Source organism: Homo sapiens, chromosome 2 (genome assembly GCF_000001405.40).
Source record: "Homo sapiens chromosome 2, GRCh38.p14 Primary Assembly".
In the NCBI taxonomy this organism is placed as follows: domain Eukaryota; kingdom Metazoa; phylum Chordata; class Mammalia; order Primates; family Hominidae; genus Homo; species Homo sapiens.
This window is the reverse complement of record NC_000002.12, coordinates 145,951,643-145,977,302: the sequence shown is the minus strand read 5'-3', so window position 1 is coordinate 145,977,302 and position 25,660 is coordinate 145,951,643. Positions and strand designations below refer to the sequence as shown.

At 36.0% G+C, this 25,660-nt stretch overlaps 2 annotated features.

Annotated features, from left to right (window-relative positions):
- Positions 24,061 to 25,171: an origin of replication, noted in NCBI's record as "1.1 kb EcoRI fragment; promotes replication of a plasmid". NCBI's record gives the evidence for it as "EXISTENCE:genetic transformation evidence [ECO:0005027][PMID:8107675, PMID:10653986]".
- Positions 24,706 to 25,157: an origin of replication, noted in NCBI's record as "site of nascent strand synthesis determined by PCR of size-fractionated nascent DNA". NCBI's record gives the evidence for it as "EXISTENCE:fractionation evidence [ECO:0000100][PMID:9356241]".

Genomic DNA, 25,660 nt, shown 5'->3' with positions numbered 1-25,660 from the left:
TCACAATGTTACTAAGCCATTAATACTTTAGTATAATTAAATCAATTTAAACTTTCATAATAGAAAAACAAAAATGAATGTTGAATATATGATATTGTTTAAAACATATTAGCACTTCTTCTAAATATCATTTTTCATAAAAGATTTCTTTGAAATAACTAATAAAGATATTACTAACATAGTACAGTGTGTAATAATGAAGCAGAAAGCTAACTTATTGTTCTTAGCTACATCAAGTATACTGGGATTTCTTATAAAATCTGAAATTCAAACAGTGGTTTTTAATGAAGAACATCTTTTTAAAAATTTCTCACAAAATACCAGTTATATCAAATCAGGCTATTACCAATTTTCTTTCTTTAATTATTCTTACAATCCTATAGCCCCAAGTGTGCATGTTTACCATTATGAATAAGACTGAAATAGAAAAGTTAAGATGACATTGCTAATTGTAGCAAGAAGTTTACAATGAACAGGTGGTAACCAGGCTGAAATATTTAAATGACAAAATCCATATAGTAACATTTCCTCAATCACTGGAATTCAACTCAAATGAGTTAAAATAATGTTAGCAAAAGATAGAGTGTTTCATGAAGACTGCCAAAAGAATGAGTCTACTATTTCTGGAAAGTCAAGCCATTGAGATAATATAAGCAGGCCATTTGATGTTATATAGTATGCCCTACTTCCAATAATATAATGCAAGTTTCTCTTTAACTTCTTAAAAGGCACATCTGTTTGCCTTTTTTCTTTTTTTTATTTTGGTAAAAAACACCTAACATTAAATTTACCACCTTAACTATTTTAATGTGTATAGTTCAGTAGTGTTAAGTATATTCACAGATCTCCAGAACTTTTTTCACTTTGCAAAACTGAAACTCTATATCATTTAAACAACACCCCATTTTCTCCTCACCCTATCCCCTGCTAACAACCATTTTACTTTTTGTTTCTCTGAAATTGTCTACTTTATATATCTTATATAAGTGGAATCATACAGTAGTTGTTATTTTGCAACAGGCTAGTTTCACTTAGTATAATGTCTTCATACCCTATATAAAGGTTCATCTATGTTATAGCATGTAACAGAGTTTCCTTCTATTTTAAGGTTGAATTATATTCCATTGCATATGTTTGTGCATGCATGCATGCATGTAGCCTATTAAATGGTGTTTTTACCTCCCAATATAAATTCTACATTAATATGGAGACTAATATGCTAACATCTTAAAATACAAGATGGACATTTTTTGTTGAAATTGTATTTAATTCAAATGCATTTTAAGGTACTTTAATTTATATTATGTATAACTAAGCTACCCAATTTATAATGTTTTACAGAGCTGAAATCATATAATAAACAGTAGTCAAGATTCCTGGTCAAAACTTTTAGAAGATATTTTGTTTTCTTTTACTAAATTTTGCATACTTGTTTCATTCCTCCCAAGCAAATCATTGCATTAAAGTGTTAAGAATATCCATCCTTGCCAACAGAATTTGCAGTGTTTTATGAAATTTTATTAGTGGATTTATTTTTTTACTTCGTTTATCCACAGCTTCTGTCTCTTAAAAAAATTATTGTGCTGAGCAACTGTTCTGATTTCTTTACAAACATTTTTGGTACTGGGAATAAAACAAATGATTATGTTTCACTTTACATTGGCCACAAAGATGCCTGTGGTCCGATTTGCAGCCCTCAAGCTAAATGCCATTGGAAAACCATTCAACGTGTTAAGGTCCTTAACTTACTGTGGTTTGGTTTTTAATTTTCTTCTAACTTTACTTTTTCTTTCTTTCATTTTTATTTAATTACTTCATAATTGGTAGTTGGTACATAACATTACTTAAGAATGAGGCAGAGGTAAAAATAAACATTATTGAATCAGCAAAGATATTTGAACTTGTATTCCAAAATTTAAAATAGAAACATCAAATTGTGGACCTTGTCTCTTCTGTGCAATCTAAGTATAATTTGAGTCAGAAAGATTTCCTTTCCTTAGTAGTTACTTATTTACTTCTATAATCTTGTTCTTTCTTCTTTCTCTGTTTAATTAAAGATGTACTACCTCTGCAGAAAAGAGTTTCATTCATCACCTGTACAATCAAGCTTATCAGTGTGATACTTTAAATATGTTGTTTATAACATGAAGATAACATCTATTCAAAATGTTCTTGACATTAAATGATTAAATTAAATTACGTTACATGCTTACCCAATCCTTATTACTGTTTTTCCTTCAGTCTAAATCTCTGGTAAACTTCAACCTTTCATTACTAGCTTTAAAAAAAGATAATAGTAAAGATGAATATATAGGAAAATTAGTAATGATATATTTAAAGAATAAAAGTTTCTAAATTTTCCCCGTGCATTTTATGTCACACTATATTGTCTCTTTTCTCTCAATCATTTTATTTTGATAAGTTTGTTCACATACTTTGTCAAGTTCTTGCATGAAAATAAATACCCACAATCAGCAAATAAATACAAATTATTCTAAAAATATCCATTGAAAAAGAAGATAATAACTCAGGTTGTTTTTAAAATTATGCAAGCAATTTAGTGTTTATATTTAGAAATTTGGTAATTGCCATCAGCCCTATTCATTACATTTCAAAAGTAGGAGAAATAATAAGTCAAATTGCCACTTATTTATTCATATTCATAGAGAGAAAAATAATAACTTATTTGCTTAACAGATCCTGACCATTGTTGTAGGTCCATCTGTACCTGTAAACACATGCAAAACTGTCTACTCAAATCAGAAGACACCATCCACTTTTTTTTAAACTAAAAATTCAGCGACAAAATGGCAACATTTTCAAGAATCATAAGATACTGCCTTGCTTTGCCAATATGGATGTATTACAGCAATATAAAATTTGAAAGCTATTCTGGTTATTGTTAAGGAATTTAAAAGGACTGGCCACATTCAAAGAAAGTGATGAATAGAGTGTTTTCTTTTTGCCAACTTTTATTTATTAATAAGTTTAATTAAAATACACAGCAATCTCGTGTAAAGCTAAATGCCATTGGAAAACCATTCAATGTGTTAAGGTCCTTAACTTACTGTGGTTTGGTTTTTAATTTTCTTCGAACTTTACTTTTTCTTTCTTTCATTTTTATTTAATTACTTCATAACTGGTAGTTGGTACATAACATTACTTAACATTTAGTACAGTGTCTCGTATGCATATGGAAATGCCTATCAAACTGAGGCATTTACCAAAAATATTAAAAAGAAAAACAGAAAGAGCAACAACACAGAAGTAAACTATTTTGACTAGTATATTAATAACAATAGCACCAATCTGATGGATTGAGAGCCTCCCCCTGAAAACACTACGCATCTTTTAAATACCAGTTTCATGGTTGCAAATATAGACAGACATATTCTGGCTGTATACATGGAACTGTCAAATATTCCTCTTTGAAACCATCTCATCTATGAAAGGGTTTGGGCTGCTGAGGCTGGCTGCCATCTTTTGATCGAGAGAAGAGCTGCACAAAATGTTTACTTTGACAGTTGTTGTACTGTACTGTGAACAGAAGTTGTGAAGGAGATTTGGGATATGCCTCAAGCTTGACACCTGCATAAGGAAGAAGAGAGGGAAGTTTCTCTCGGATAAACTCATAGGAAGATTGGGCATAATGCAACATTTGAGCCAATAAAATCATTGCAGTTGCTATCCCCAAGAGAGAAAAGGTCCATTTTCAACATGGAGTTTCGCATTTTCAACCCAAGTGTATTTTAAGCTTGAGATTAAGAGAGATAAATGCTGACTTTGGCCAAAAAAAAAAAAAAAAAAAAAAAGCAGACTAAGGACCACAGTCCTGACTTCTGTATACTCAGTGTGGGTTTATAAATTCATTTAAAATCTCCCCTTCACTAATTTCTCTGATATTCATAGGTATCAGAAATAGAAAGATTACTGGCATACTTTAAGACATGGTTGTCCTATAATGATGAAGAAGTGTTTATGTGTGTTTGACTGGATACATTCTTCACTTTGTTACCATATGTGCAACATGGTCAGATGGTTAATGAGTTTTCAGGGCTGAAATGCATCTGGTCCAACTTTAAACTTATGGTTTATAATACTTCACTGGAAAGCATGTAATTAATCTTTCAGAGGATAATCTACCATAACTCCTAAACTAATTAAGAATAGATATTCTTTTTCAACAGGATTTGAAAATTAAGCTGTATACAGGTTAAGAAAAAGATAAAGTCTCTACATTGATAGAAGAGTAATAACATCTAAGATAAAATTGGCCTCTCACTTCCTCCTCCTCTGCCATATCCTGTTGATAGAAATATGCCCCTTCATTGAATGTATGCTTTCAGATAGCCTTTCCCTTAAGGAAAAGGTCAGTCTCTTATACATCTTTGAATCCTGAGCATCTGGTAAAGAGTAAAAGCATAGAAGGTGTTTATAGATCAAAATATGGGAGTTAATTCAGAGAGACCCCACCTTGCAATCCATGAATTTTCACAAGTATGTGGGAAAACATGTACACAAATCTATTTATTGACACATATACAAATATATATATCCATATGTTATAAATGAATAAACCGAGGCCCAGAATTTTTTAAAAATATAGAAATCAGACTGATAGTTATGTTTCAGTTGTGACTCAAACAAAGAGAACCTGATGCTTTCAAGTTCTTACCACTATGCTAAATGAGCCACAAAATAGTTCCTCAGGTTGTAACCAAATTTCTGTAATCATTGTCATCTTCCTAACTATAGTGCCTTTAAAACGGATCATAATTGTAAGTATTATAAATAATTCATTTATAATAAATTATAAATTATAATTCATTTTCTAGTAAAATATCTATAAGTTGTATTAGAGAATAAAATAATATATACCTTTTCTTTTTTGCTCAAAATGTAAAGATTTTGTAAAGCATTATAAGTTACACTACCAACAGCATTGTAAATGTTGCAGCTTTCTTCACATCTTTGCCAGCATTAGATATTAAGAGGTTTTTACCTTTAAAACTTTGCTACTGATAAAAATGTAATTGTTTTAATTTATATATTTCAGCTTGGAAATTTTTCATGTTTACTTGCTGGTGGCATTTTTGCTTTAATTTTATATTCATGCTCTTTGAAAATGTATCTATTTATGTTTTACCGTATTTCACATCAATTTGTGTAAACTAACTAATTAACAATGACACTGGATTGTTATTACACTGGATGTGAATTTGTCCTAGTATTTTGTTCATTCTATTATTTAATGTATTTCCTGTAAAATTATGTTTTTTCTAATCAACTTACCTTTTCCTCAAATAATTATATTTTGTTTAAGCTCAAGATAATTTTTACTCTAGAAATTTGATAAGGATTCCTTCATAATTTTTCTATTGGAATTACTTTTCTATATTTAATCTAGCAGAAACATATTTCAGTTTGTTGGATAAAATGACCCTTCTTTATTTTAAAATAGATCTACAATAAAAATATGTTTATGAATTCATTTAATTCATTCATACATGCATTCATTAATTCAACAAATAATAATTTAAAACCCACTTTCTCTCAGCCATAGTGCATATTTTCCAAGAAAGAAACATTGTTAAGATAGAAACTCTCTTGAGGACTTCAGAGTTTGTATTGTAGACTTATATCAGTGCAGTCTTCCTGAGTGATCATTTTATAATAAATGAGTGAATAATTATGGCATATATAAAAAACATAATTTAAATAATTTAAGAGGTATTATAGGTTTAGGCTCAACTGAGAGAAATCAGGAAATTAAAAATCTATGTTGTACCTCACTAGCCCCCAGTTACTTAGGTATTATATGTCTAAACTTCCATTTTACTAAATCAAAAAAAGTTAATATATATAGTGTAATATTATTACTATTATTATTATAATCATAATTACTAACCTAGATCTCTATATAGCCTTAATAGCCTGTGGGTCCCCATAATAATAGTTTTTAGTCATCCAGCAAATAAAGAGAAGGCTTAAAGCAAAAAGTGGCAGTAAACTCCCCTGTCTCAGTGCAGTGTCAAAGCTAGTGAAGGAGAGGTTTCAAATGGTGAATTTGGTGAACCCATACTGGGTTGCATCAGAGACTTTCAGTAACTCTTGAGCTCTTAATGCAATAAAAAAAAAAAGTTGTTTATTTGAAAGTTAGTTTTAATTTCCCTCTCACTTTCTACTTTTGAGGACTTCTACCTTGCATGTAGTAACTTCTCAACAAATGATTACGAGAGTCAAGTAATTTTACTGGAATAGTCAGTGTAAACATTCTCAATGTTTTTGGTCAAAATTAATAGGGTAAAGCACTAAAAGAGAAAAGTTGAGTCAACTTCCAAGAAATTAAGTAACTGTGCAAAGAAAAATATATTCATTCTTTATTTTGAAGATTCTGCTGTTAAATTCAGAGTATTAAAGGGCATAGCAAGGGTTTCTGGTGAGGAAAATACCAATAGCATGGAGTTGTTTGTGGCCAAGAGAGACTGCCTAAATTATTACTCTCAATTTTGCTGGTCTTTTGTTTACATTGCATTGGATAAGCTCTTGTCAATGTGCTCAACCTTCTCAGGCTTCTTAGGCTCATCTTTCATGTGCTATATCAAAGGAAGTTTTTTTTTAATGTAGAGGAGTCACTCAGATCTTTCTCCCCCCAGATTTAATGGGATATTAATATGGTTTGACTCTGTCCCTATCCAAATCTCATCTAACCTGGTGGGAGGTAATTCAATCTTGGGGGCGGGTCTTTCCTATGCTGTTCTTGTGATAGTCAATACGTCTCATGAGATCTGATGGTTTTAAAAATGTGAGTTTCCCTGCACAAGCTCTGTTCTCTTGTCTGCCATCATGTGAGATGTGCCTTTCACCTTCTGCCATGATTGTGAGGTCTCTCCAGGCACATGGAACTGTAAGTTCAATAAACTTCTTTCTTTTGTAAATTGCCCAGTCTCTGGTATGTCTTAATCAGCAGTGTGAAAACAGATTAATACAGGTATAATTAGAAAATAAAGGTGGTAAATTGTGTTTTGGTATATGTATATACTATAAAAGGGTTACAATAATCAAGTTTATTAACATACCAATCACCTCATAAATTCCCATTTTTTTCTATACTGAGAAAATTCAACATCTACTTTATTCAACTATACAATAAAGTTTTATTAACTATATTCAGCATGTTGTATATTAGATCTCAAGAACTTATTCATCCTGCATAACTGAAATTTTATAACCTTTGGTCAATTTTGCCCCATTCTCTTCCTCACCTCCAGCCCTGGAAACTATGATTCTACTCTATTTCTCTGAGTTCCATTTTTATATTCCACATATAAATGAGATTATGCAGTATTTGTCTGTCTGTTTCTAGCTTATTTTACATAACATGTTGTTCACCTTTATCCATGTTGTTGCAAATAATACAATTTTCTTCATTTTAAGGCTGAATAATATTTCCTTCTACGTGTGTGTGTGTATTCATGTGTGTGTGTATCACATTTTTTAAATCTTTTCACTTATCCATGAACACTTAGGTTAAATCGATATCTAAGATATCATGATCAATGCTGTAATGAACATGGGAGTACAGATATATTGTGGGCATCCAGGTTTCATATTCTTAAGATATATACCCAGAAGCAGAATTGCTATATCATATTGTAGTTCTATTTTGAATTTTTTTGAGGAACCTCAATATTGTTTTCCATAATTACTGTACAATTTACATTCCCATCAACAGTATCTAAGTGTTCCTTTTTCTCCATATCCTTGGCAACACTTGCTGCCTTTCATCTTTTTAATAATGGTCATTCTAACAGAAGTGAGATGACATTTTATTGTGGTTATTATTTACATTACCCTGGTTCTTGATTTTGGGCATTTTTATATACCTTTTGGCCAAAGAAGTATATTTATTTTTTTGGCCAGACACGTATGTCTCAGACAGGCCAGACAGTATTTGTCTTCTTTTGAGAATTTTCTATTCAAGTCCTTTGCCCATTTTTTAATGTGGTTATTTGTTTTCACACTGTTGACTTCCTTATTTTTTTAATATATTAACCCCTTATCAAATGTATGGTTTGCAAATATCTTATCCTATTCTGTGTTATCTCCTTACTCTGATGAATGTTTCCTTTGCTCTGCAGAATGTTTTTAATTTAATGCAATTCCATTTGAATGTTGTTGTTTTTGTTTCTTCTGTTCTGGGGTTTCTATTCTGAAAATCATTGCTCAGACTGTGTCTTGGAGTTTTTTCACTATGTAAGAGAACTTCTACTTCCAGATAAGCAAAAGCAACAAGAACAAGACTTACTTTATGCCTGCAAACAATTCAAAATCCAAACAACTATATAAAATTATTGTTTTAGACAGCAGATCACAAGCAGCTCAGGACTATGATAATTGAGATAAGGTAAACAAATGAGGGAAGCTTTATAATTGCTATGGTTTTCTCGATAAAGTTGGTTTCAAGCTGTAGCAGTGGTTGGATATAACCAAACAAAGACCATCATTCTGGTTGATGTAAGGAGGCAGAATTTGGAGCTTGTGGAGGTTGTTTGTAGATAATTTTCAGTGCTCAATGCTAAAACAGAGGAAAATATGCAGAAAAAGATTACAGAAATCTGTATACTTGACTCCTTGAGTCACTAGCTGAAGATTAATCTGTGCATGCATAAGGTGAAACTCTGCATAGTTGTACAAAGAAAAACTTTTGGGAAAATACAATTACCTAGGAGCTGTAAGCCAAACAATTCCCTGAACTCAAAAGGGCCAGGAACCATTCATGTTCTTACCAGGCAGAGTGAAGAGATCTTGTTGAATACATAGCCTATTGAATAAAGACCTGAAAAGTACTGGACATAGGAGTGGGGCAAACTATCACTGGGGTAAAGGGTAATGTATAAATATCCAAACAAAGCTTGAACAATGAGCCTCAAAAGAATCAACCTGAAATGCATATAACAACTCATGTAGAAACAAAGTCAAATAATTTAGTATAAGAAAACCTAGCACTCAATAATGTAAAATTAATAATGCTAAAGTTTTAATTAAAAAATTTTTTTTAAAACTGGACAAGACAATAATCATGAAAACAATGACAGACTCTTAGAAAAGACTTCAGCCAAACACCCAAAAATGACATAGTTGATGGAATTATTAAATAAAGACATCAAAAGAACTTCTGTAAATAGGCTCAAAATGTTCACTGATTTAAAGGAAAACATGGGCATGATGAGCACAGAAATAAAATATATATAGAAAAAACAAATAGAACTTTGAGATTTAAAATATAAACTATCTGAAATGAAATTTCATAGGCTAGGAGTAACACCTGAGTACATACTGCAGAAGAAAAGGTTATCAATATAAACCACCCAAAGTGAACTACAGTGGGAGTACTATACTACTTGATATCAATATGTATCATAAATACATATTAATAAACGTTGTCATTGGCAAAAGTATAGACCTTATATTATTTAGACAGAATAGAGCCATAGAGTCCAGAAATAGGCCCAAATATATATGGTAAATTGATTTTTGACAAATCTCCAAGTTAAATCACTTTAAAAAGGATAGTCTTTATGCAAATGGTGCTGGAATAACTGACATTCGTAGGATAAAAAATGAACTGACACTTACCTCATTCCATACACGCCTTCATACACACTCAGAAGGGATCATAGCTCCTGGAGAAATGAAGCCATACGTCCATACAAGACTTATTTGTGAACGTTCATTAGCAGCATTATTCATAGTAGCCCTAAGACGAAACAATACAAGTGTCCCTCAACTGGAAAGTGGATAAGCAAAATGTGGCCTATCCATACAATAGAATAATCATCAGAAATGAAAAGGAATACACTATTGAAACATGCTATTACAAGGGTGAAGTGCAAATCATTATGCCATGGAAGAAACTGGACATAACAGAACACATATAGAATTATTTAATTTATATAAACTGTTCAGAAAAGGCAAATCAGTACAGACATAATGCCTATAGTTTGGAATTGGAAGGGGAAAATTTTACTGTGGTAGAAATGTTTTAAAACTTGATTGTGATGATGATTGTACAACCTCTAAATTTTACCAAAATTCACTAACATATATACTTACAAGGAGTGAATTTTATGGTATTTAAATCATACCTCAATAAAGTTTTTTAAAGACCGTATATAATCCAGCAATTATCCTCCTTGGTATTTACCCAAATGTGTTGAAAACTGATTTCCACAGGTAAGCCCACACCCAGATATTTATAATAGCTTTTCTCATAAATGCCAAAACTTGAAAACAGTCATGATGTCCTTTAGTATCAGAATGGATACATATGCTAGTGTATATCCAGGCAATAGAATTATTCAATGCTAAAACAAGAACTATAAGCCATGAAAAGACATGAAGTAATCTTAAATGCATATTACTAAGTGAAAGAAGCCAGCATAAAGAGGCTGCCTACTGTATGATTCTAACAAACTATATGACAATCTGTGAAGATAATAAAAGGATCAGTGGTTGCCAGGGGTCACAAGTGAAGGAGGGAAGAGTAGAAACTACTCTGTGTGATACGGTAATGGTGCATACATGTCATTATACATTTGTTAAAACCCATAGAATGGACAACACCAAGAATGAACTCTAATATAAACTATGGGTTGTGGGTGATGATGATGTGTTAATGCAGGTTCATCGATGTAACAGATGTATTGCTAGGGTGCAACACTTTGATAGTGAGGGAGTCTGTGTATATGTGGGAACAATGGATACATGGGAAAGCTCTGTACATTCTGCTCAAGTTTGATATGACCCTAAAACAGCTCTAAAAATAAAGTCTATCAAGAAAAAAAATGAATAAAATAAAATAAAAATGGATCATAGATCTAATTTAAAAGCTACAAATTATAAAAATTCTAGGAGAAAACACAGAAGAAAGCCTATGAGTAAGTTGTACTAGACCAAGATTTCTTAAATGGGACATGTAATCAAATCACAACTCGTAAAAGAAAGATAAGATATATTAAATGTCATTAATGTAAAAATTACTCTTCAAAGTACCATTTAATTTTTTAAATGAGGCTGGGCATGGTGGCTCACACTTGTAATCTTAGCACTTTGGGAGGCTAAGGTGGGCACATCACTTGAGCCCAGGAGTTCAAGACCAACCTAAGCAACATGATAAAACCTCATCTCTACAAAAAATACAAAAAATAAAATAAAATAGCTAGGTGTGGGGGCGCATGCCTGTGGTCTCAGCTACCTAAGAGGCTGTGGTGGGAGGACCACCTGAGACTGGGAGGTCAATGCTGCAGTGAGCTGTGATCATGCCATTGCATTCCAAACTGAGCGACAGAGTGATACCCTGTCTCAAAAAAAAAAAAAGCCTATAAAATATAAATAATTTGTAACAAATGTATAATGACAGGTACCTACTATGGTATCATACAGAGTAGTTTCCTTGCTAGCATTTCTCATCTATCTATGAGAAAAAAAGTTTATATATATATATATATACACACACAAAGAATTTGTTAATGAATAATAATTTATAAAATAATTTATAAAAACAAAACATAATACAATTCAATAAATATTAGACAAGTATTTTAACAGAAAACTCACAGAAGTCCATGAAAATTTAATAAACTCTATATACTGATCAAATTGGAGAATACAAATTAATACCATAATGTGGTAATACTATGTACCCTCTAGAATAACTAAATTAAAAAAGATTGACAATATCTGGCCCTTTACAGTAAAAGTCTTTCTCTATATACTGATCAAATTGGAGAATACAAATTACTACCATAATATGGTAATACTATGTACCCTCTAGAATAACTAAATTAAAAAAGATTGACAATATCTGGCCCTTTACAGTAAGTCTTTCTACTCCTGCTCTTGACTATTTCTTATGCACTAGACTCTTTTATATGATATAATTTTATTTCTAATTTTTTAGACATATTTTCTTCTATTTTAATGTTCTTCTGTTGGTTTATGTCTAAATCCATCTATTGTTTGAGCATTTATTAAAAAACAGAACATATTATCTCTATTTCCTTTAAATGTGGGATTGGTATCATCATAACTTTTCTTCTGTTTCCTTGGGTTTTTCCTTTATGAGATTTGTCACTTATTTGCCTTTGCTGTTTTTGTTCCCTCTCTCTTTTTTTTCTCCTTTCTTATCCTTTTTGTTATTTCTCCCTTATTATTACTTATATTTGAATTTGGGGTAGTTGGTGGTGTACTTACCAGGAAATGCTAAATGATATGGTAATAATTAATGCCCAAATTACAATTATTATATATAACACACAGTTCAGATTTATCTTGTTACCCTCCTCACTTTATGATCAAAGTATACGTAACAGTTACTATATGGAATATTAACTGGCACTGAGACAGAGAAAAAGGAATCCCTACAAACAATCTCTGGGGCAGTGAAATTATCTCTCATAACTTATGCTCATCACTCATTGACCAGAACACGTCACATGGCTCCCAAGTACTGTAGGGAGTTAAGAAGTGCAATTCTAGCCTGTGCCTGCAATATTTGGAGAGCAACATTAATGACTACTACAAATCATGTTTGGGTGGGGGTCAGCTAGGTTATACAGTCTCCAATTTTAATGTTTTTTTTTTCTTGTTACTTACTCATGAATTCTACTACTTCTTTCAATCAAAAGTGTATTTCCCTTCAACTTTTGGCCTCAATATGTGGGTAGGATTCATAGAAATATTATTTAAGTCACTGGTAATTCGCATATTGATCTACTATCACACACATACTCCTCCCCACCATCTTCCATGTCTGTTAGTACCCTCATTCTTCCTAGATGTGTTGCTTAAGCCATAGAAATGGCACATTAGCATGATTTCTTCTCCAGAAACTTCTATGCTGATGTTGTGTGGTGTCACCCTGTATCTCTACAGATAGTCAAGTCTCTGGTTCTGAGATGCTAAAGAAAAAGTCAGTAGGATAGACCTATGTGATAGCATTTCTGTTTTGAGAGCTCAATTTTCTGATTAAGTCTCAGAAGATATGCACAATTTTCAACATTCACTACCATTTTAATCCATATTTAATTGTATCTGGCAGGAACATAACAATCTTTTGGTTTGGTTTGATGATGTTTTTATACTTTCTTTTTTTGTTTCAGTTTTTTATGTCAAGGCAAAAAAAAAAGGAGGGGGGAAGTTTAGAGAAAGGGAGAAAAGAGAATAAAACTTTTATTATTCTATACTTCAAGGAAAGTTCCCCTGATCGCTCCCCTCATTCTTTAATGGAACTATATTTCTGACTGTTCACAGACTCAAGACACTAAAGGGTTTTGTTGCTCTTTTTTCAACTTACGTATCTCCCTTATCCCCTGGGTTGTGTGAGTACTTGCTTCAAAATATTGATCCTTCATCCTGTCCCTTGTTTTCCCACTTCAGGTCTTTATTTTTCTTACCTCTACTCTTAAACTTTGCTTCTGTCTCTTTACTCATTCCCCTTCCAATTCATTCCAAGTACTATGAACAAATAAATTTTCTTCAGACAATGGCCTCTAAGACAAATACTACTTATTGTCTAACACAAAGGTAGTCTTATGCTTTTCACTTAGAACAAAGGCACGAAATCTTATTTAGTTGAAACATATGCTATACAAATATAAAAGCAAACTGAGACTAAATTTTAAACCTCAAATGTTTTGCTAAGAAATTCAGACTTCAGAGAGCATAAACCATACACACACAGAATATTCTCTATTGACTGCAGTCAGAAGCAAACTCTGTCACCTGATAGCTCTGATTCTCTCATTTATTTATACCGTTTTGAAATATGTTTTAATGCCTATTTTGTGTCTCTGTAAGGTCAAACACTCTGTCTTCTCATATCAATATCCTAGCAACATCTACTTCTGATAAATTAATCAATTAACAAAAATAGAAAAATATAATACTGATATATTAAACTCATGTTTTTCAAAATTGTACTAGAAAATACAGATCATTTGCTTTTTATAAATAATGTGTTTTGTTTGATGTTTTATTATTCCCTTATTCTTTTAATTTACAGTGTATCCTAGAAAATACTTATTACGTTCTCCAATAATTAATGATGAATTGTGCTCAAATTTGTTACTCATCCTTCTCTAGCCCTCTTGGTTTTCTTTATGTATCAAACTTGCATGCTCTCCTTCATGGCAAGGAAAATTTCTGCAAAGCTTTTTAAAAATTTTCTTAAAAATTCCTAACATAGAGCCATAGAATATTATAGCTACAAAGCCTGAGTTTATTAGCAGTAAAAACTAATTTTATTGCCTATAAGTAGAGGTATCAGTTTGTTCTTTTAAATTATGACTATATCACATATATAGTAAAAGTACAATTTGGCCAGCAGTGTGCACATCTTTTAATTAAATTTAATTCAATGTAGAACCATCTAATATATCCTTTTAATAATTTAAACTAAAATAATTATCTGTAAAAAAAACTTTTTATTCTGTTTTTATGGTTAAAATGAAATGGGTACATTTTTTAAAAAATCATTTTTCCTCATCCCTGTTTTTGTTAAGGATTATAACAAATTCTTGATATGTAAGATGTTTACTAATGGCAAAGACATTTTTTAATTTATGACTTTAAAAATCTGTGCTGCCATAGCTTCTCCACCATTAACAGAGGATTCTGTTACAAATAAATAGCATAGTAGATTTATTTTTCTCTTTTATTTAAACAGGCCATATATTGGGGATTTGTCTTAGAAATATGCCAGTCTACATCAGGATGATAACATTTTAATTAAGTTATTCATAGCTTGATCTCTGATACTTTGTTTTTCTGAAATTAGTGCTTTATGTTCCTATAAAAATACAAAAATAATTATAATAGAATGGCATGATTTTATGCCTTCAACATTTAGAAAATAATGATTGTCTATTAAATGGCAGGCACTGTTACTAATAGCCTATACCTGTTACAAAGGAAAAGTGGGAGAGGGTGTGAAGAATTTGGACACCAAAGACAATATTTCCTAACATTTTCCAAGTCATAGCACACATAGGCATCAATGATATCTATGCAGCTCACTGGAACCATTGGTTTATGGGTAACTGGATGTGTAGATTCAAAGCTGGTGGTGTCTACCCAGAGGTCGAGACACCCAAATCTCTATCAGTTCCCTCAAAGTTCAAGTGGACCAGAATCTGGGCACAATTACAACCCATTCATAGCACAGTGGTGAAAAGCTCTGACTCATGGGAATATGAAAGCAAGAATGCACTAAAAAGAAGAAACAGAATACACAGAGGCAAAAGGCAAAGGATACTGTTTTTTTTACTAACAGTTTTGACTCAGCTGTGTCCAGTCACCTATATGCAGCTACTGGGTCCATAATTTGTTTATCACAAACAACTGGTGGCAATATGTTGTTTGGAAAACAATTTTTCCCATTTTAAAAAGGTACACTGATGTATATATCATTAGCAAAATGATGGAATAAGAGTTTTCTACTGTCATCTTCTCACAGTGCATTGAATTTGAAAACCACCAATGGACAAGAGTACATTTGTGGGAATCTGGGAGTAGAGCAGAGATATTTCAGCATACCACTTGAGAAAAAATCTAAGAATAGGTGCATTAAAGAGGGTAAGAAGAAGAGTTTCACTATATCACCATCACCCTTCTCCCAAGCCAGCACAGTTCTATGCCAAAAGAGAACTCCTTGGCATGTGATTCCTCCCACTGGGGAAAGAAGTGTGTAATGAGTGAGCGTCCAGCTTCCCCAGCTCAGCAGGACGCTACCCAAGAGCCTTCTCAACCCACCTAGAATACTGAGGGTATCAGTACAGCTGAATAGCTAAGAGAGGCTGAGAGAAAAGAAGTGAAGTAGGGATTTATAGCAATCAGTGCTTAAAACTAAACAAAGGGCTGTATTCCTATAAACTGCTTTTCAGACTATATTAGGAGACCTGTCCACTGTTTGAGACCTCTCACCAGCTGACTCACACCAATTGGCACATAGGCACCACCAATGCTCCATGAACCTCTTCCCTTCCCCAGTGCACACTCCCTGTGTGTGCCCCCTAGATGGCAAATATGAGCTTTTGAAGATGGCTTGTGAGTATGTTCAATTAGCCAGCTTGACTCTCCAGAATTGAGAGAAGGCAGGCAAAATTGATCATTTCAGGGCACTGCCTTAGGGAAAATAAACTGGAGACTCTAGGCATCCAGCCTTCTTTTGGAGAAGAGGAGAAAGTGAAAGGTGACAACGTGCTGGCAGCCCTTGCTCACTCTCAGCACCTCCTCAGCCTCGGCGTCTGCTCTGGCCATGCTTGAGGAGCACTTCAGCCCACCGCTGCACTGTGGGAGCCCGTCTCTGGGCTGACCGAGGCTCCCTCTGCTTGCAGGGAGGTGTGGAGGGAGAGGCACAGGCGGGAACCGGGACTGCTCACAGCGCTCACCGCTGGTGCTGTGGGCCCCAGGCAGTGAGGGGCTTAGCACCCAGGCCAGCAGCTGTGGAGGGGGTGCTGGGTACCCCAGCACTGCTGGCCCGCACGCGCCACACTCGAATTCTTGCCGAGCCTCAGCCACCTCCCTGCAGGGCAGGGCTCAGGACCTGCCACCCACCATGCCTGTGCCCCTCAGTGGTGGGCTCCTGTGTCGCCTGAGCCTCCCTGACAGTTGCCACCTGCTGCTCCGCGGTGCCCAGTCCCATCAACCGCCCAAGGGCTGAGGAGTGTGGTCGCTTGGTGTGGGACTGGTGGGCAGCTCCACCTGCGGCCCTGGTGTGGGATCCACTAGGCGAAGCCAGCTGGGCTCCTGAGTCGGGTGGGGACTTGGAGAAATTTTATGTCTAGCCGGAAGATTGTAAATGCATCTATCAGAACTCTTTGTCTAGCTTGGGGTTTGTGGATGCACCAATCAGCACTCTGTATCTAGCTAAACTGATGGGGACTTGGCGAACTTTTATGTCTAGCTAAAGGATTGTAAATACACCAATCAGCACTGTGTGTCTAGCTCAAAGTTTGTAAACACACCAATCAGCACCCTGTGTCTAGCTCGATTTGTAAATGCACCAATCAGTGCTCTGTGTCTAGCTAATCTAGTGGGGACTTGGAGAACTTTCACGTCTAGCTAGAGGATTGTAAATACACCAATCAGCTCTCTGTAAAATGGACCAATCAGCTCTCTGTAAAATGGGCCAATCAGCAGGATGTGGGTGGGGCCAGATAAGGGAATAAAAGCAGGCTACCTGCCGGAGCCAGCCGTGGCAACCCACTTGGGTGCCCTTCCATACTGTGGAGGCTTTGTTCTTTCGCTCTTTGCAGTAAATCTTGCTGCTGCTCACTCTTTGGGTCCGCACTGCCTTTATGAGCTGTAACACTCACTGCGAAGGTCTGCAGCTTCACTCCTGAAGCCAGTGAGACCACGAACCCACCAGAAGGAAGAAACTCCAACCACGTCCGAACATCAGAAGGAACAAACTCCGGACACACCATCTTTAAGAACTGTAACACTCACTGCAAGAGTCTGCGGCTTCATTCTTGAAGTCAGTGAGACCAAGAACCCACCAATTCCAGACACAAAAGCATATGATCTCATCAGTTCTCCCCCAGCCCCACAAGGAAACAAAAGGTGTCAACTGGTTGTATCCATAGAAAATGTCTGAAAGAGCTTCAGAATCCCTAGGCTGCTGACTGGGGAAGTAATTTCTTGCCCGGAGGCAGTCAGTGAAGACTGGAGGAAGTGACTGCTTCTTCAAATGTGAAGATAGCAATCAATACAAGACTTCAAAGAACTTTAAAAACCAAGGAAGCATGGCATCACTAAAGGAAAACAATAATTATCCAGTAATTGACCTAAAAGTAATGGAAATCTATAAAATATTTGACAAAAACGCAAAATAATTGTTTTAAGAAAGCTCAGTGAATTTCCTTAACAAGGAAGTGAACAAGAGAACACAGATAGATAGAAAACAAAATTAAATTTTAAAAACCACATACACACATGAACAAAACATGAGGTTCAACAAAGAGATAAAAATCATTAAAAAAGGAAAAACAGAAATTCTGGAGCTGAAGAATGCAATAGATAAAATAATAAAATAAAAAACACAATTGAGAGCTTCAATGAGAGACTTGATTAAGCAGAAGAAAGAATCTGCACCTTGAAGACAAGGCACTTAAAATTATTCAGTTAGAGGATGGAAAAAAAATTAAAAAGAATTTAAAAAGCTTACAGGACTTGTATTGGCCACCATGAAGAGGAAGAGTGTAAAGATCCTGGAGGTCTCAGAAAGAGAAGATAAAGAGAAAAGGAGAAAAGGTTTATATAAGAAAATAATGACTGAGAATTTCCCAAATCCTGAGAGATAGACATCAAGGGTACTTGAGACTCAGATGGCAGATAGGAGGCACCTCTCACTTGGAAGGACAGAACAGCGTTGTGAAGACAAATCGTGAACTTTAGTTCCAAGAACTACCACGGGAACATTCCAGGAAAACCAAAGAATTCAATGACCTTTGAAAGAAGTGGCTTGTGGCTGCAAACTCCTTGAGACAGCCAAAACTCTGAGTGCCCAAAGCATGAGAAAAGTAAAATTCACCTCCAAATACAAATCCACAATGGGGAACCTGAAAATCCAGATCACGGAAGAAGCATTTAAATTTACCTAGAACTTAAAGGAATTTAGAGGTCCAAGCGAAATATAAAAGTAGAAGAAGAAGCAGGAAGAGCCCTGAAGGCACTCCCAGTTCCCTGGGAAGCCACCTCTGACTCTATCTCAGAGGGGTCCTTGAGGAGGGCTGCCAGTATAATTAGAGAAGGTCTACAGGGAGAAGGAAACATCAGCTGAATTCTTTAATAATTTCAATGGAGTGTGAATTTTCCTGAGCAGAATCTGGGGGCTGGGGTGTGTAGGTGGGTGGGGTTGGGGAAGAGGGCAAACAGAAAGTGCAGATAGGAAGAGAAGCCCTAGCTGTGGGGAGGGGTGGAGGCTGAAAGCTCTGTAAGCCTGATTTGCTTCCTCAGCAGGGAAGCTTGTAGCCTGGGGCAAGATCTCAGCTCTTGCTCATTGGCTACCTGTATATAAGCTCTGTGCTGTTATTGGGGCACTGTGGAAGTGAGACTGGCCTTGTTGGGTGCATAGGAGCTATGTGAGGCCTGTCACTGCTGACTTGACTTTCCCCTACTTTCCTGGTGACCTTTATGACTCAGCAGAGGCAACCATAATCCCCCTGGGAACATTACCACATTGCCCTGAGAACCACACCCCTATCCTCCACAGTGGACGCAGCAAGCCCCACACAAAGAGTGTCTGGGCTCTCAGTTACACCTAACCCTGCCCCTACCTGATGGACTTTCTCTATCTGCCTTGGTAACCAAACACAAAAGACATAATCTTTTGGGAGCTCTACGGCCCCACCCGACACCTGGTAAACCCAAATACTTATCCAGGAAACCTTAGGGCAAGCTTGTTTCCCCACCATACTACCGCAGCTGATACTCTTTTGAAAGTGCCACCTCCTGTCTGGAGGCCAACCAACTCAAGCCATTATAACAATTCATAAAAGAACAGCCCTGTTTCAAAAAAGAAGAAAACAACAGCTAATTCCACCTCTGGTAACATCCTGGCTAACCAGAGGTCCTGAGTCTGTCTATGTGACAGTTTCACTGACAGCACAACCGGCATTTGAGGAAACCAGCACACTTAACAAAACTACAACCAAGGACCCACCCAGAATCCACTTCACTCCCCTGCTATGTTTACTGGAGCAGGTACTGGTATCTATGGCTGAGAGACCTGAAAGTAGATCACATCACATTACTCTTTTCAGACACTCCCCAGTACCAGCCCAGAGCCCAGTATCTCCACTGGGTGGCTAGACCCAGAAGAGTGATAACATTCAGTGCAGGCTGGCTCTTAGCAAGCCCTGTCCCTAGGGAAAGTGGGGGAGCACCACATCAAGGGATCACCCCTTAGGATAAAAGAATCTGAAAAACAGCCCTCAAGCCACAGATCTTCCCTCTGATATATTCTACCCAAATGACAAGGAACCAGAGAAACAATTCTGGCAATACAACAAACAAATGTTCTTTAATCTCCCTGAAAAATCACACTAGCTCACCAGCAATGGGTCCAAACCAAGAATAAAACTTAGAGTTGCCAAAAACAAAAAAACAAACAAAAGAACAGAAGGTCGATTATTAAGCTACTCAAGGAGGCACCAGAGAAGGGTAAAAATCCAACTTAAAGAAACTTAAAAAAAAATACAGGATATGGACCAAAAAATCTACAGAGAAATAGCATAAAAAAAGCAATCAAAACCTCTGGAAATGGAAGACACACTAAGAGAAATGCTAAATACACTGGAAAATTTCAACAGACATTCAAAGAAGAACTGGTACCAATCCTATTGAAACAATTTCAAAGAATAGAGAAAGAGAATCCTCCTAAGTCGTGGGAAAGACAAGTATCTTGGGGCCCCCAAAATAGCTAAGCTAAAGGGAAAAATCAAGCTGGAAACTTCCTAGGGCAAACTTGCCTCCCATTCTATTCAGTCACTCCTCTTCTTACTGAAATAAATGGTTATATGATTGCCTCCTTTGGAGAGGCTAATCAGAAACTCAAAAGAATGCAACCATTTGTCTCTTGTCTACCTATGACCTGGAGGCCCCCTCCCTGCTTCGAATTGTCCTACCTTCCCAGACCAAACCAATGTTTATCTTACATATATTGATCAATCTCTCATGTCTTCCTAAAATGTATACACCAAACTGTTCTGACCACCTTGGGCACACATCATCAGGACCTCCTAAGTCTGTCATGGGCACATGTCCTCAACCTTGGCAAAATAAACTTTCTAAGTTATCTGTGCCCTGTCTCACATTTTCATGGTTCACAATTATATGAAGCCAGTATCACCCTATTATCAAAACCAGGAAAGGACATTAACAAAAAAAGAAAACTGCAGACCAATATCCCTGATAAACATAGATGCAGATATTCTCAAGAAAATACTAACTAACCAAATCCAACAGCTTATCAAAAAAAATCAACCATGATCAAGTGGGTTCATACCAGGTATTCAGGGATGGTTTAACATATTCAAGTCAATAAATGTGATACACCACCTAAAGATAATTAAAGACAAAAATCACATGATCATCTCAATAGACACAGAAAAAGCATTTGACAAAATCCAGCAACAACTTATGATTAAAACCCTCAGCAAAATTGGCATAGAAAGGACAAACCTTAAGGTAACAGAAGTCACCTATGACAAACCCACAACCAACATTATACTGAACGGGGAAAAGTTGAAAGCATTCCCCCCCAAGAACTGGGACAAGACAAGATGCCCACTTTCACCACTTCTATTCAACATAGTACTGGAAGTCCTAGCCAGAGCAATCACACAAGAGAAAAGAATGAAGGGCATCCAAATTGGTAAACTGTTGCTGTTCACCGGTGATATCTTTGTATACCTAAAAAACCCTAAAGATTCATCCAAAAAGATCCTAGATTTGATCAGTAAGTTCAGTAAAATTTCAGGATAAGAAATCAATGTACACAAATCAGTAGCACTGCTATACGTCAACAGTGACCAAGCTGAGAATCAAATCAAGAACTTAACTCCTTTTACAATAGCACCAAAAATAAAAAACAAACAAACGAAAAATTTAGGAATATACCTAACCAAGGACATGAAAGACTTCTACAAGGAAAACTACAAAACTCTACTGAAAGAAATCACAGAAGACACAAGCAAATAGAAACACATCCAATATTCATGGATGGGTAGAATTAAATTGTGAAAATGACCATACTGCCAAAAGCAATCTACAAATTCAATGTAATTTCCATCAAAATAACACGATCATTCTTCACAGAACTAGAAAGAAAAATCCTAAAATTCATATGAAACCAAAAAAGAGCCCTCATAGCCAAAGCAAGGCTAAACAAAAAGAATAAATCTGTAGGCATCACATTACCAAACTTCAAACTCTACTGTATGGCTGTAGTCACCAGAACAGCATGATATTGGTATAAAAATAAACACAGAGACTAACGGAACAGAGTAGAGAACCCAAAAATAAAGCTAAGTACTTACAGCTAACTGATCTTTACATAGCAAACAATAATATGAAGTGGGGAAATGACACCCTATTCAATAAATGGTGCTGAGATAACTGGCAAGCCACATGTAGAGAATGAAACTGGATCCTCATCTCTCACTGTATATAAAAATCAACTCAAGATGGATCAAAGACTTAAATCTAAGACCTAAAACCATAAAAATTCTAGAAGATAACATTGGAGAAAACCTTCTAGACGCTGGCTTAGTCAGAGACTTCATGACTAAGAACACAAAAGCAAATGCAACAAAAACAAAGATAAATAATTGGGAATTAATTAAACTAAAAGGCTTCTGCATAACAAAAGAAATAATCCACAGAGTAAACAGACAACCCACAGAGTAGGAGAAAATCTTCACAAACTATGCATTTGAAAAAGGACTAATATCCAGAATTCAAATCAGCAAGAATAAAACAATTAATCTCATCAAAGAGTGGGCTACGGACATGAATAGACAATTCTCAAAAGAAGATATACAAATGGACAACAAACATGAAAAATGCTCAACATCACTTATGATCAGGGAAATACAAATCAAAGCCACAGTGTGATGCCACTTTACTCCTACAAGAATGGCCATAATTTAAAAATCAAAAAATAAGAGATATTTGTGTGGATGTGTTAAAAAGGGAACAATTTTACACTGCTGGTAGAAATGTAAACCAGTATAACCACTGTGGAAAACAGTATGGAAATTCCTCAAAGATCTGAAAGTAGATCTACCGTTTGATCCAGCAATCTCACTACTGGGTATCTACCCAGAAAAAAAGAAGTCACTGGGCCAAATGTGGTGGCTCATGCCTGGTTGGTGTGATCCAAGGTTGGCAGATCACCTGAGGTCAGGAATTCAAGACCAGCCTGGCCAATGGTAAAATCCTGTCTCTACTAAAAATACAAAATTAACCAGGCATGGTGGTGCACACCTGTAGTCCCAGGTACTTGGGAGGCTGAGACAGGAGAATCACTGGAACCTGGCAGCAGGAGGTTGCAGTGAGCCAAGATTGTATCATTGCACTCCAGCTTGGGTGACAGACTGAGACCCTGTCTCAAAAAAAAAAAAAAAAAAAAGGGAGTCATATGAAAAAGACACTTGCACACACATGTTTATAGCAGCACAATTTGCAATTGCAAAAATATGGAACCAGCCCAAATGCCCACCAATCAGTGAGTGGATAAAGGAAATGTGGTATATATATTCTGTGAAATACCGCTCAGCCATATAAAGTAATGAAATAATGGCATTCAAAGCAATTAGGAAGGAGTTGCAGACTATTACTCTAAGTAACTCAGTAATGGAAAAACAAACATATATTCTCAGTTATAAATAGGAGCAAAGCTATGAAGATGTGAAGGCATAAGAATGATAAAACTGACATTGGGGACTCAAGGGAAAGGATGGGAGTGGGTGAGGAATAAAAGACTACAAACCGGCTGAAGTGTACACTGCTTAGGTGATGTGTGCACCAAAATATCAGATCTCACCACTAAAGAACGTATCCATGTAACCAAACACCACCTGTTCCCCAAAATCCTATCAAAACAAAAAAGGGTACATGAGAATAAAAGGTCCCCAAGCAGGTTCAATAAAAATAAAACTTCACTGAAACATATAATAACCAAATAGTCAAAAATCAAAGAGAATTTTGAAAGTAGCAAGAGAAGAGACTTGTCACATACAAGAAAACTTTTATTAGACTATCAGCAAATTTATTGATTAAAAAAACTTTAAGCTGAGGAGACAATGGGATGATGCATTCAAAGTTTTAAAAGAAAAGAGACTACAAACCAAGAATACTTTACCTGGCATAGCTGTCATTCAGAAAGGAAGGAGACATAAAGACTTTCCCAGAAAACAAAAACTGACAAAGTTCATTAACACTAGACCTACCTCACAGCAAATGCTAAAGGAGACACTTCAAGCTGAATCAAAAGAATTCTAATTAGTAACAAAAAAATGAAATTATAAAATTTAATGGAAAAGGTAAGTGTGTAGTAAAATTCAGAATACTCTAATACTGGAATTGTGGTAAATAAATCACTGTTCATTCTAGTATAAAGATTAACAAACAAATGTATGTAACATAACTATGACTACCACAAGTTGTTAATAGATATACATATAAAAAGCACACACACACACATTTTGACATCAAAAACATAAAATGTTTGGGGGTGTGTGTATAAATGTTGAATTTGGGTAAGAGAACAAATGTAAGTTTATATGGGATTAACTAGATAGCTACAGCTATAAGATATTTCATGTAAGCCCCATAATAACCACCAAAAACCCACTTATATACAAGAGAAAGAGGCAGAAACAAAAGCATACCACCACACAAAACTCATCAAATCAAAAACGAAGACAGCAAGAGAGGACAAAAGGAACAAAGAAACCATTAAATAGTCAGAAAACAACTAACAAAAGGATAATTGTAAGTATTGTTAGCTATTAATAATTATATGAAATGTAAATGAATTAAATTTCCCAATCAAAAGATATAGGCCATTAAATGAATTAAGAAAAAGAGGGGCCAGGCATGGTGGCTCGTGCCTGTGATCCCAGCACTTTGGGAGGCTGAGGCAGGTGGATCATGAGGTCAGGAGTTTGAGACCAACCTGACCAACATGGTGAAACCCAATCTCTACTAAAAATACAAAAATTAGCTAGGCGAGGTGGTGCACACCTGTAATCACAGCTACTCAGGAGGCTGGGGGAGGATCCCATCACTTGAACCCGGGAGCCAGAGGTTGCAGTGAGCCGAGATTGTGCCATTGCACTCCAGCCTGGGTGACAGAGTGAGATTTTGTCTCCAAAAAAAAAAAAAAAAAAAATCCTCTGTCCAAGACGGCCAAATAGGAACAGCTCCAGTCTACAGCTCCCAGTGTGAGCAAAGCAGAAGATGGGTGATTTCTGTATTTCAAACTGAGATACCAGGTTCATCTCACTGGGACTTGTTGGACAGTGGGTGCAGCCCATGGAGTGTGAGCTGAAGCAGGGCGGGGCATCACTTCACTGGGGAAGCACAAGGGATCAGGGAATTCCCTTTCCTACCAAGGGAAGCTATGACAGACGGTAACTGGAAGATCGGGACACTCCCACCCTAATACCGGGCTTTTCCAATGGTCTTAGCAAACGGCACACCAGGAGATTACATCCTGCACCTGGCTCCATGAGTCCCATGCCCATGGAGCCTTGCTCACTGCTAGTACAGAAGTCCAAGATCAAACTGCTAGGTGGCAGTGAGGCTGGGGAGGGGCGTCCACCATTGCTGAGGCTTGACTAGGTAAAAAAAAGTGGCAGGAATCTCGAACTGGGTGGAGCCCACCACAGCTCAATGAGACCTGCCTGCCTCTGTAGACTCCACCTCTGGGAGCAGGGCACAGCTGAACAAAAGGCAGCAGAAACTTCTGCAGACTTAAACGTCCCTGTCTGACAGCTTTGAAGAGAGTAGTGGTTCTCCCATCACAGAGTTTGAGATCTGAGAATGGACAGACTGCCTCCTCAGGTGGGTCCCTGACTACTGAGTAGCC